The 12,430-nt window shown below is 42.6% G+C and overlaps 1 long non-coding RNA gene and 3 pseudogenes across 2 annotated transcripts; 3 read left to right on the forward strand and 1 right to left on the reverse strand.

The window, feature by feature from the left end:
• Positions 1,011-2,031, forward strand: ARAFP3 (ARAF pseudogene 3; annotated as a pseudogene).
• Positions 4,138-5,030, forward strand: VN1R30P (vomeronasal 1 receptor 30 pseudogene; annotated as a pseudogene).
• Positions 5,098-8,364, reverse strand: LOC102724738 (solute carrier family 25 member 1 pseudogene; annotated as a pseudogene). Its single transcript, NR_136256.1, has one exon. The product of NR_136256.1 is annotated as a solute carrier family 25 member 1 pseudogene (transcript).
• On the forward strand, positions 7,368-10,072 carry LOC100287704 (uncharacterized). Its single transcript, NR_028348.1, has 2 exons — positions 7,368-7,846; positions 9,897-10,072. It is a non-coding gene; the product is annotated as an uncharacterized LOC100287704 (long non-coding RNA).
• The last annotated feature ends 2,358 nt before the right edge of the window (positions 10,073-12,430 follow it).

Below are 12,430 nucleotides of genomic sequence, written 5' to 3' on the forward strand. Positions count from 1 at the left end.
GAATTACCTATACATTTTTTATTTCTTTTAGTTTGGATTTTTATTGAAAGGAAACACCTAGAAACATTACGTAAAATCTAGATTTTGAAAAAAATAGACCTGAACTTGGTTTGAGAATTTCAAAATAGACATGAGTTTTGTCTGAGAATTTGTCTTTCTAACAACATACAGATCTTACAGCACATGGTAGATACAAGGACTCTTTTATCTAAAATAAATAAAATTTGACGAATAAACATTTTAAAATTTGACCTGTGGCTAAAGGATGAATCAAAACACCTGTGCAATGGGTTATCTGTAGAAGTATATTTTAATGACAAACTATTAATAACCAAAAAAGTTATAATAATTTATTAACTAACATGAGCAAAATTCCTATTATGGTATCTATGAAAATGCTTTCTTAGAGTAAAATATTCTCTTATCTTGCAAGGGCACTGGTTAATAACAGCAAAGATTTGGAGGTCAATGTCTCATAAAGTAAGTAGCAGACCCCTTTCACACCCATAGCTGGCCTTCAGAGTTATCGAAAAAATGGTCATTTACACAAGAGCAGATAATTTTCTTAGGTTCTATTAAGTTTATATGTTAATGTTGTTACAAAATTTAACTCAGTTTTCTCATAAGATTATCTGACAAAATTTTATATGTTATAATATCACAATATATTATGTAATATCATGTAATATAATAAAATTTTGTCAGATACGGTGTCATATATATAATTTGTTATTTCATAAAACATATACAAAAAAACAAAATTTTATGTTATGATATCACAATGTATTATACCATATATTATATATGATTATATATCATGTATTATATTATGATATCACAATGTATTATGATATATATCGTATGTATAATACATGATATTATATCACAATATATTATGACATCATTATATATTATGTCTGACATATATTATGTCACAGTATATTATATTATATAATATATTATATTATATTATATTATATTATATTATGTTGCATTATATATTATATTATATAGTCCAGCTAATTGACATGGCCCAGCAGACTGCCCAGGGCATGAACTACCTCCATGCCAAGAATATCATCCAAGGTGATCTCAAGTCTAATAACATTTTTCAACACAAAGATGAGTGACTCTCGTCTGGCCACAGTGAAGACAGAGTGAAGCAGGGCCCAGCCCTTGGAGAAGCCTTCAGGTTCTGTTTTGTGGATCGCAGCTGACCTGAACCCCTTCAGCTTCCAGTCGGACGTCTATGCCAGTGTGGCTGTGCTCTAAAATCTCACGACTGGCTCACTGCCTTACAGCCACATTGGCAGCTGTGACCAGATTATCTTTATGGTGGGCTGTGACTCTTCATCCCTGGACCTCAGAAAAATCTCCAGCAACTGCCCGAAGCCATGTGGTGCCTGCTGTCTGACTGCCTCATGTTCCAGCAAAAGGAGTGGCTCCATTTGCCCCAGACTCTCACCACAATTTTTCTGCTGCAAGGGTCGCTCCCCAAGATGGAGGGGAATACCTCTAAATCGTCCTTTTATCAAACCCAAGCTGATGAGTTTCCTTCCTGACTACTCAACACAGGCTGTCTTGAGCCTGACCTTACTCCCAGCCACTAGGGAGCCAATCTGAGCCCGCCATGCCAAGGAGCCCTGCCCACCAACGAATCAATGTTTTATCTCTGTCCTGAAGTTGCATCAGGATCTCATATCCCCCACCCTGTTAGATGAGGGGGTCCTGATGTGCTTTCCCAGTTCCTCTAAAATTGGAAAACTCTTAAAGATTGAGCCCCTGCCCCCCTCCATCATTTTATTTTTTGGCTTAGAAGATACCTCTAAATTGGGGGAACTCCTTCATCTCTCATGGCTAAAATTTGTAGCAGGGATTTCACTCAGAACCTCTATGGGATTTGTGCCTGATGTGACTTCCACTGGACTTTGGGGTTCTCAACACATCATGTATTTTGGGGGTTCCCTTTTTGTCCTCTCCTCCATTCAAGGACTACTGTCTTACTTCATTAAAATACAGAGAATTTTGCTGAAAAAAAATAAAGTGTTTCAAATAAAACCTTCCCAACCTTTGCCTCTGGGGAAAACATAATTTTATTAAATTATTTATGTATGTATTTGACCTCTGCTCTAAAAAGAGACACTACTCACTTCACACAAGGCTGTTAGTTATTTAAAAACATCCTTGAAAAGATTGTCCAAATGGAAGCTTATATAAGATGTAAAACAAATTAACCAACAGGTCTATAAAAATTGGCTCCCAACAGAGTACAACATACACTTAAAAATACAGAAATATTGGTACAACCATTACAGAAACACTGTGAAGCTTTCTCAAATAATTAAAATAGAATTGCCATATTATCCAGCAATTTCACTTCCAGATATATAACCAAAGAAAATAAAATTAGTATCTAAAAGAGACACCTGCCCTTCTGTATTCATAGCAGAATTATTTACAATGACAGAGACATGCAAACAATCTAGGTATCCATTAATAGATGAACGGGTAAAGAAATTATGGAATATTTATATAATGGAATATTATTCAGCCATAAAAAAGAGAATTCTGCCATTTGCTACAATACGAATGAACCTAGAGGACATTAGGTTAAATGAAATAAGCTAGACACAGAATGACAAATACTGTTTGATTTCACTCATATATGAAGCCAAAAATGTCAAAGTCATAGAAACAGAGAGTCCACAGTGGTTGCTAGGGGGTGGTGGCTGGCAGAAATGAAGACACGGTGATCAAAACTTTTAGATATAAAATAAACAAGTTCCGGTGATTTAGTGCACAGCATGGATGTTCACGAATGTTGTCTTAGGCTATCCCTATTTCTGTAATAAAATACTTTAGAACAGGTAATTTATATAGAGTCTAAACTTACTTCTCACAGTTACAGAGGCTGAGAAGTCCAAGACCAGGGCACTAGCAGATACACATAATATAGTACCTGCTAATTACATTAATTTGATAATTGCACCATATATATGTATGTAGGTAGGTATTGGAGCTTCACATTTTAACCTTATATTCATTTTATGAAAACGTTGCTCCTGTACAACTTTATTCTGTCTTTCCCTCCTAGTTTGGGTACTAATGTTTAAATCTACATATGTTACAAACACAACAGTTTGTAGTTATCTGCTTACATAATTTTATTTTTTTAAATAAGCTGAAATAAGAAAAAAGAGCACTTGTGTATTTACAGGTTTGTTTTGTTAAACTTCTTATTATTCATTATGTTATTGTAATCCTTCACTTTTTCTGACGTACTTTTTTAAATCTTTGTAGATACAAGTTATTATCTGGAAAGATTTTCTTAGCCCAATATATCTTTTCTTGAACCCACTTTCTCTGTGCTGTAATTGGCAAATAAATTAAATTTCTTTATGTTATAGCACTGAAGATCCCATTACAAACAATATTACACAGTTGCTTTTGACAATCAGATAATATGAGAAAAAAATTTCTTATATTGCCTTAAATATTTGTTACATTTACTAGTCCTCTTTGTCTTTTGGGGGCATTAAAATTATCTGGGATTACTTGCATTCAGCCTGAAAACTTATTTTTATTCTTTCTCAAATGATCTGTCTGCTATCAAAAAATTGCCTCAGCTTTTATTTACCTGAAATGTCTTTTTTATTTATTTTTAATTGATAGTTTTTCTGAGGATAAAATTTTTAGTGGACATTTTTTCATCTTTGAGCATTGAAATATGTATATATTCTTAGAAGTTGAAAAGCTTTTAAGAAGAAAAAAAGTTTTGATCTGAGAATGTTCAGTGATTTGAGGAATTCAGAAGGGAAGGAAATGCTTTCTGATGAGTGAGCCACAAGTACTCTATGAGTATAGATAATGTGCACCCTACATGGGTGTGATTGTGGATGTATGGAAGTTTCAGATACGTATAACTTATTTGTTGTAAGATAAAATGCTTAGGCTACATTTTAAAGAATTTATATGAGATAGTCCAGGTTAATCAGGATAAATGGGTAAAATTAAAATGATAATATTGGTAATAATTTTGACCGTGCAATAAATAATACTGATGATAGGATATCTATTGCTTTTTCAGATATATAAAATATGATCCCTCTTCACCATTAAGACGACCATAGTCCACTTATGACACTATTAAAAATTGCCCTTTTTTCCCAAGCTGGTATTGGACTCACAGCCAACACCTTCCTCCTTTTCTTCTGTATCTGCACACTCCCTCTGGACTGCAGGCCTAAGCCCACTGACCTCATCACCTGTCACCTGGCCCTTGTCCACTTAGTGATGCTCCTCACTGTGAGCTTCTTGGCATCTCTGGACCTCTTTGAGTCACAGTATTTTCAGAATGACTTCAAGTGTAAGGTATTCTTCTACATGCATAGAGGGATGAGGGCTCTCCATCTGCACCACCTGCCTCCGGAGTGTGCTCCAGGCTGTCACCATTACCCCCGGCACCTCCTGGTTGGCAAGAATTAAACAGAAATTCACACATTGCATCTTTCACTTCTTGGGGTTCTCAGTTTCTTTCTCAGTAGTAACCTGCCTTCCTCCACTGTGGCCTCTTCTAATGTGACCGACAGCAATGTGCCAAGTATCAGTAAATACTGTTCACTTTCTTACATAAGCTACATCATCAGGAGTCTGTCTTTCATGCTGCCACTACTTGCAGATGTCTTCTTTGTAGCAGTCATGTTGCTCTCAAGGGCATACATGGTAATTCTTTTGTCCAGGCATCAGAGACAACCCCAGTACCTTCCCAGCACCAACCTGTCTGCAAAAGCCTCCCCAGAGAAAAGGGCCACCTAGACCATTCCGATGCTGGTGAGTTGCTTTGTGCTCATGTATTGGGTGGGCCTCATCATCTCATCCTCCTCAACCCTGTTATGGGCTTATGACTCATTCATCATGGGTGTCCAGATGCTTATGGGCAATTTCTATCTGTTAGCCCTTTTATGCTAATTAGTTCTGATAATAGAATAATCAAAATTTTGCATAATGTGTTATATAAATATCATAGATGATAATAAATTATGAAAATAATTATCTGAAAAACAGATTTGGACATCAAATAATTCAAGAAGCAGGTGATTTTATATATTATTTTATTACACTTTTATTTCATCTAAATACTTTTGAAAACTATGCTGCCAAGAACTTGGTGGTTTCTTTAAAGTCCACCGTCATAGTCCCCTGTGTCCACAAGTTTCTTATATTTAATTTTGATCCCTTAAGTTTTATATAAGACAACTTTTCTATCTTCTTGAAGTGTACACTTAAGATGCTCCTGTTGGTAGATAAAATTTCTCTTTGTGTGTGTGTGTGTGTTTTACTTCTGAAGGTTATTTAGTTTACCCTTATTTATTAAATATATGCTAGCTATGTATTCAGTTACTGGTTGAACAATAATTTTTCAGCACTCTTAATATTTCCTTCTCAGTTTTCTGGCTCTGCCTGGGCTGTGGAGATTTCACTCTCACATGTGTAGATTCTCTCTCTCTCTCTCATGGCTTTGAAGTTTCTTCATTCTCTTTGGTGTTATGCAGTTTGACTTATGGTGTTGGATATCTTTCTTTATTGCTTTTTCTTTTTTTAATTTGGTGACGGAATCTTGCTCTGTCACCCAGGCTGGAGTCTTGGCTCGCTGCAACCTCCGCCTCTCGGGTTCAAGGGATTCTCCTGCCTCAACCTCCGGAGTAGCTGGGATCACAGGCAGCTGACACCATGCCCGGCTAAGTTTTTTGTATTTTTTTGTATTTTTAGTAGACACGGGGTTTCACCTGGTTGGCCAGGTTGGTCTTCAACTCCTGACCTCAAGTGACCCGCCCTCCTTGGCCTCGCAAAGTGCTGTGATTACAGATGTGAGCCACTACACCCAGCCTCTTTATTGCTTGCTTTCAGGCACAGTGTCTCTTTTAGGCACATGTCTGGTTTTTACTTTTAGAAATTTGTAAATAATTATTTATTAGTATGACTTATTATTTGTATGAATTCAAGTGAAATAATTGTGCTTTATTCTTTGTCATTCTATTCTTCACATATGTATAATTACATTCATATTACTATTATTTTGTTTCTCTTTCTTTTATTTGGTTATATTCGTTCTGCTCAAAATTTCAGTTCATTAATCCAGTTCACTAATTCTCTCATCAACGTAGTCTAATTTTATAATTAACTCACATATCGTATATTAAATTTCTTTATGTTTAAATTATTCCATTTCTATTTGACTCTTTTCCAAATTTCCTCATTCAGTTTATAGTTTCCTGCTCTTTCAAAAATTATTTGGATATCATCTTTTCCTCAATTGTTTTTACCTAAACATTTAAAATATTTAAATTTAATATTTTATATTAATATGTACAAATATAAATATATTTATAATACTTTTAAAATTTAAAATATTACAAATATATTTCCAGTATGCAAAGTTTATGTGATATCAAATTTCTTCCAACCGGGCCAGGCACAGTGGCTCATGCCTGTATTGGGAGGGAGAGGCAATCCCATCACTTGAGGCCAGGAGTTCCAGACCAGCCTGGTGAACATGGTGAAACCCCATCTCTACTAAAAACACAAAAATTAGCTGGGCATGGTGAGGCATGCCTGTAACCCCAGCTACTCGGGAGGCTGAGGCAGGAGAATCACTTGAACCCGGAAGGCGGAGGTTGCATTGAGCCTAGATCGGGCCACTGCACTCCAGCCTGTATAACAGAGCAAGACTCTGTCTCAAAAAGAAAAATCTTCTAACCCTTTTTCCTCGTAGCTTATTTTCTTCTGTGCTTCATACTTTTTATTTATTTTTTATTTTTTACAATAGGATCCGGTTTATTCTGCCTTGGCAGGGTGATCCTGAGAGTGGTGGGTGTCACCCTCTCCTGGGCAGAGGGAGGGGCCGTGGGCCAGTCAAGCCAATGGTAGGAGAAGCGCTGGTGAGGGGTGGAATTTGGGGTTCAGGGGTGTAACCCCAAGAATGCAGTGAAACCAGGCCGAGGCCCAGAGGCAGCTGTGGTAGGCCAGGGCAGGGTGGAAGGCAGTGGACTGGGCCCGGGCCGGGATGACAGGGCCAAGGACTCAGGCCACACTGGCACCCCGGGAGGCGGGGCGCAGTGTCGCATGACGTAGAAAATGAATCACAGGCCCAGGGCTCACAATAAGCACATGGACAAGTGGGCACAGACTCACAGGCCAGATGGACCTCCAGCCACGGCCGGGCCAGACTCGTGGACACAGGCGCAGTGTCACGTACAGACCACGGGGAGACATGGCACTAGGGGACAAATGGACGTGACACCACAATGCACAGGGCAGGCCACAGAGCTCGAGGGACGTGGGCAGGGGCCTTTTGGCATTTCTGCGCTGGAATCATGTGAGACAAGGGTGGTGGCCGCTCTGGAGGTGCCTGGGGGGTTCCCTCATTACCCCTCTGGGCTTAGTCCATCCTCCACACTGTTGTGCAGCTTCTCCACCTCCTGGTAGAGGATAAATACTGTTACCCTTATCCCTGGTCACATCCAGGGAGACGCGGTCCAGCGGCCCAGGCGGGGGACAGTGCCGTTCTAGAGGTCCTTGAGCCCCTCCTTCCTCAGGATCTGCAGCCATAGGCCGGTGTGTTCCGCGTTTGTGCTGCTCCAGGCCCCGCATCCGGTCTCGATCCCATCCAGAGGAGCGTTTCCCAAGACACTGGCTGCGCCCACAATGGCTCCGAAGACCCCAGCGACCAGCGGGTCCATGGGCTTGCTGGGGTTGTCCCCTCGGTACCAGCTGTGCAGGGAGGTCAGGAGGAGAAGCAGACGGCCTGGTTCCAGCCCTGCTTTAGCGTGGGTGCCATGAGGCCCCGGTGAGTCCCCTTGTTCTCGCACAATCTCTCTAACCTGGTGGGAGACTCCTCTGCACTGGAGGTCTGGGAAGGTCTGGCCGTGGATGAACTTCACCTTGATGGTGTCCATGGAACATACGACCACCATGGCCTCGGCCACGCCAGCGCCCTGGCCGCACCGCAGCCAGCGCTGCCGTCAGGCCGTCCCTGGGCATCCCGCGTCTGGCTGCTGTGGAACTGGAACATTCAGAACCCAACGCCGCCCTGGAGACAAGAGCCGCAGAGCAGGGAGCCGAGGCCGCGGTGCCGGCCCGGGACGCCATGACCGCGACAGTGCGCACGCGGGATCCATGCGCGGTGCCCGGCTGGTGCCAGCGCTCGTCCGGCTGCAGCTACGACCTCCCGCGCTCCGTGGGGAGCGGACGCCCATTTCAATGCCGCCGGCCAGGCCGCCTGCTGGTGTCGCCTTCCCCGGAGCCTCCGCTGGGCCTTCCCGGACGCGGCGCGGCGTGGCCACGGCGGGCGGGAGGCGGGCGCCCGCTGTGATCTGAAGTCCCAGCCTCCTAAACTCCGCACTGGGACCTTAATTTGGTTTTAACACAAATGAAGATCTCACTAAAGATAAAAAGGGATGTCTTGGCTTCTAATTTTTGTTAAAAGCAATAGCATATGTTGTATAGGATAGTGCATTGGGGTAAATCTTTTTTTTATTATTTTTATTTTTTCATCAGCCCACTGACATTGAAAGGGGATAGGTTTTAGGTTATTGACGAGCAGTTTTCTCTCAGATAACTGCCTTAGTATAGGGGTTTGTGGTCATGTTGATGAGAGGGTAGGCTGGGGTTAAAAGTCGTTATGGCAGTAACAACCTTCTGAGGACCAGGAAATTCAAATCCCTCTCATGATACTTTGCTAATATCTCCCGAGTTTGCTGTGCCTTCCCTTTGTGCCTCTTCCCACACGTGGTTTCTTGCACTTGGCCCAGCTATATTCCACTGTTTTGACTCCATGCTTCTTAGCCTGGTGGCAGTGGTGAGGGAGTGAGGAGATCTCTAATGTTCTGAGGAAGCCTCAGACTTAGCACTGTGAACTGGGGTGTGGGGTTACTGACCGTTGAAGAGTTTCCTGCCCATCCTGTACATGCAATGCCAGGACAAGAGCACATTCCTGTCCCTCCTTGTCCATGGTAGGGGAAACGTGCTCCTTCTCCATGCTCTTAACTCCCAGTTGAAGTGGGCCTTGAACAGTGCCCTGTAAATTAATGGTTTCTTTTCTTTATGGGAGATGCATCTGTGCAGAAATGCGGGTGTTGGCCTTGTTCCTTCACCCTCAGTTCCATGAGCTTTTCCCCAGTGCCCTTTGGCTCAGGTTTGGATGCTCTTTCTCTGCAGATTAGGCCTCATGTTATATAGGAGAGATGTGAGGGCTGTGTCTCCAGAGTTGCAGTAGTGGATGGGATAGTGGTCCCTCCCCATCAGCACTGTGGGGTAAGCATCCTCAGGATTCTAACCCCATCTTCCCTGACAGGCCTTGTAGGGTTCCTAGAAAAATTATACACAACGGTATAAACCCTACGTCTGTAGACTCCAGGGTTTCTCATTCTCCTCACCCACCCACACACAGCCACCAGGAACTAGTTCAAAAGTTCTGGCTTAATTTTACCAGTTTACATGGTCTTCAGGGTACACATAAAAGCCTGGAGCCTGTGTGACCTGCAGGCTTTCTGCATCCCCTGATGTTGGGTTTGTAGTCTGCCCTGTGACCTCAGTTCTTTAAAGGGCTCAGGAGAAACCATCCATTCATTTGAAGTTTCTCCAGCATTTTTGTTTGTTTGTTTAATGTGTAGGAGCAACTCTTTGTCAGGTCTCTATATCTACAAACTTAACTCAGAAACTAATATTTTTAAATATATTTCTTTTCTATCATACTTTTAGTGCTCCTCTACCTATGCTAATTGTTCTTCAGTATTTTTTATATTTGTATGTCTTTATCTATTTTAAAATCAGGTTTAATTCCTTCTTAATCAAATTAATAACTTTTCATTTATTTCCCTACGTAACTTTCTTTTCAGACGTTTAAAGTATTGCTGTGTGTTTCAAGTGGAGGAGGTCATATTACAACTGACATTTGTCCTTGACTACTGGACATATCACACCAGCCCTGATTGCAGTTATACTTGAAGCCAGATCTACCCTTAACGTATATTCATTTTACTATTCAATAAATATTAACTTATCATGAATGGTATATATTGTTACAGTTGTAGGTTTATGGACCTGAATAGACAATAAAATAAATAAAACCCAAATTACATGGCTTCAGGGGGGGTATAACTTTTTATTAAGTTTTTAGTTAAAACATTTTTGCCTTTCTGTGATTTGCAACTTTGAGTGATTGCCTTGAAAAAGGAACCAGAGTTGAAACTGAAGTAGTAGGTGTTGGTGAGATTTTGATGGCTAAGAGCATCGGGCTCATTTTGTAACTGAAGGGGAAATTAGAACAGGTCACCAGTTCCATCTGACCACAATGCAGTTGGAATAATCACCATGGCAACCCATGACTTGTATTTTAGGGGAGAAGAATTGGAAATAAAATGACCAAGCATAAAGCTGACCCAGTCTACATGGATCTTTGTCTTTAAAACATATCTGCAATACTCATGTAGGCAGTGTATAAATAACTTGTCAGAAATATCGTTTATGCCAAGGTTCTTCTTGAATTTTCAGGATTTTGCTTCTCCAGTAGTGAGTGTGTTACTGAGCAAAAGGGGCTTTCTATCCAAAACACTAGAACCCAAAACTGTGGCACTGGGTTTTTCTTTTTAAGAAAAAAAAAAAAAAGCTGCTCCTTATTATAATTTTTGTTTATATTATAATTATGTAAGTATAATTTTAATTTTATTATAAATTTGCTTTATTATAATTTTTATTTCAGTATCACTTACAGTACAAGTGGTTTTTGGTTACGTGGATGAATTATATAGCAGTGAATTCTGAGATTTTAGTGCACCTGTCACCTGAGTAGTTTATATTGTACCAAATAGGTAGTTTTTTCATCCCTCATCCACCTCCCACTCTCTGCTTCTGAGTCTCCAAAGTCCATTACATCACTCTGTATGCCTTTGCATACGCATAGCTTAACTCCCACTTATAAGTGAAAAATAATAGTATTTTATTTTCCATTCTTGAGTTATTTCACTTAAAATAATGGCCTCATATCCCTTGCCCTGAAATTAACAGCCAGCAGGGGTGTCCTCAGTATCAAAACAAGTCGACCACACAAAGCCGTCAAAGACTCCAGGAACCCAGGTCCATGGGGTGCAGCCCTGCAAGGTGGAAAAGCTGACCAAGTCTTCCTTCCAGCCAAATCTGGAAGAAAGGCCCCTTGCCTGGAGCAGTGTTCCTGGTACCCAGGCCTCTGTGGGCATCCCTCAGCACAAAGACCCTCTCCAAGGGGCATGGGCCGGCCCTTCCAGGACCACCAGCCCAGCTCCAGAAGCCCATGGGTCATCCCCACCCTCACCTGACTGAGCTGTCCCTGAGGCTAAGGCCCAGCAGCATGAAGAGACTTCCACAGAAACCAGGGCAATAGGCTGCTCTCTGGCGGCACTGGGGGCTCAGGGTCTGGCTAGCCTGTCCCTGGCTCAAGTCACATGCCTGGAAATTAGGGTTTTCTCCTCTGCTCTTAGCATCTCCTGGGTAAACCAATAATTACCCTCCTTCATGTCTCAAAATTCACATCCATGTAAAAGGCTCTGGTGAGGGTGACATTTCCAGGAAGCCACAGCCCATGTCAACCCCCTGCAAAGCTGTGACCTTGTCCGCGGGCAGGTGAGGCGGCGGAGTTCTCCCAAAAGCCGGTGAACTGGCGCTCTGGCTGGAGAGCGCGGAGGGCGGCAGCACAATGGACAGCGTCTGGGACCTCAGGCCAGTTCCACAGCAGCCTAGGAAAGCAGGCGGCTCCTGTGCTGGAGGAGGCGTGATGCTCTGGAGGGAAACCGAGCTGAGCAGCGAGAGGTGGGGTGAGGCTGAGACCCGCCCGATTTAGGCAAAGATGAGGTGCACTTCGCAGCGTCACACTCTTCTCACTGCCCAGCCCCGACTTGCCCCTTAAGTCCCTCTCTGGACTCACTCCCCTTAGCCAGGGATGGCACAGAATCAGTGGCCAGCATAGGTTTGGAAGCAGAGAGGTCCACACGGCTTGCGCCTCCCTCCGGGACTGCTCACCACCCCGCAGCCCGGCGCTTGCTGGGACTGTAGGCCGGTAGCCCTGCGACCAACAGCCGAAAGCGGTTAAGAAACTACTCCCAGAATGCCTGGCGAGGCGCGCACCACGCGGCCCCTTCCTCCAGGCATTCGCACCACCCCCCACTCCCGTTGCATGCTGGGATTGTAGTTGATCGCCTGCGATCAACGGCCGGAAGCGGCTAAAACTACTCCTGCCTGCATACCCCGCAGGAGCAAACCGCGCCATGTCTCCCTCCAGGGATCCGCACCGCTCACAATCCTGTTTAGTGCTGGGATTGTAGTCCTGCGAGCCTACGACTAATAGCTGGGTGCGGATAAGAGACTACAGCTCCCCCCATTCCCAGCAAAGGTCCCTCCT

The sequence above is a fragment of the Homo sapiens genome, chromosome 7 (assembly GCF_000001405.40).
Source record: "Homo sapiens chromosome 7, GRCh38.p14 Primary Assembly".
Lineage (NCBI taxonomy): Eukaryota > Metazoa > Chordata > Mammalia > Primates > Hominidae > Homo > Homo sapiens.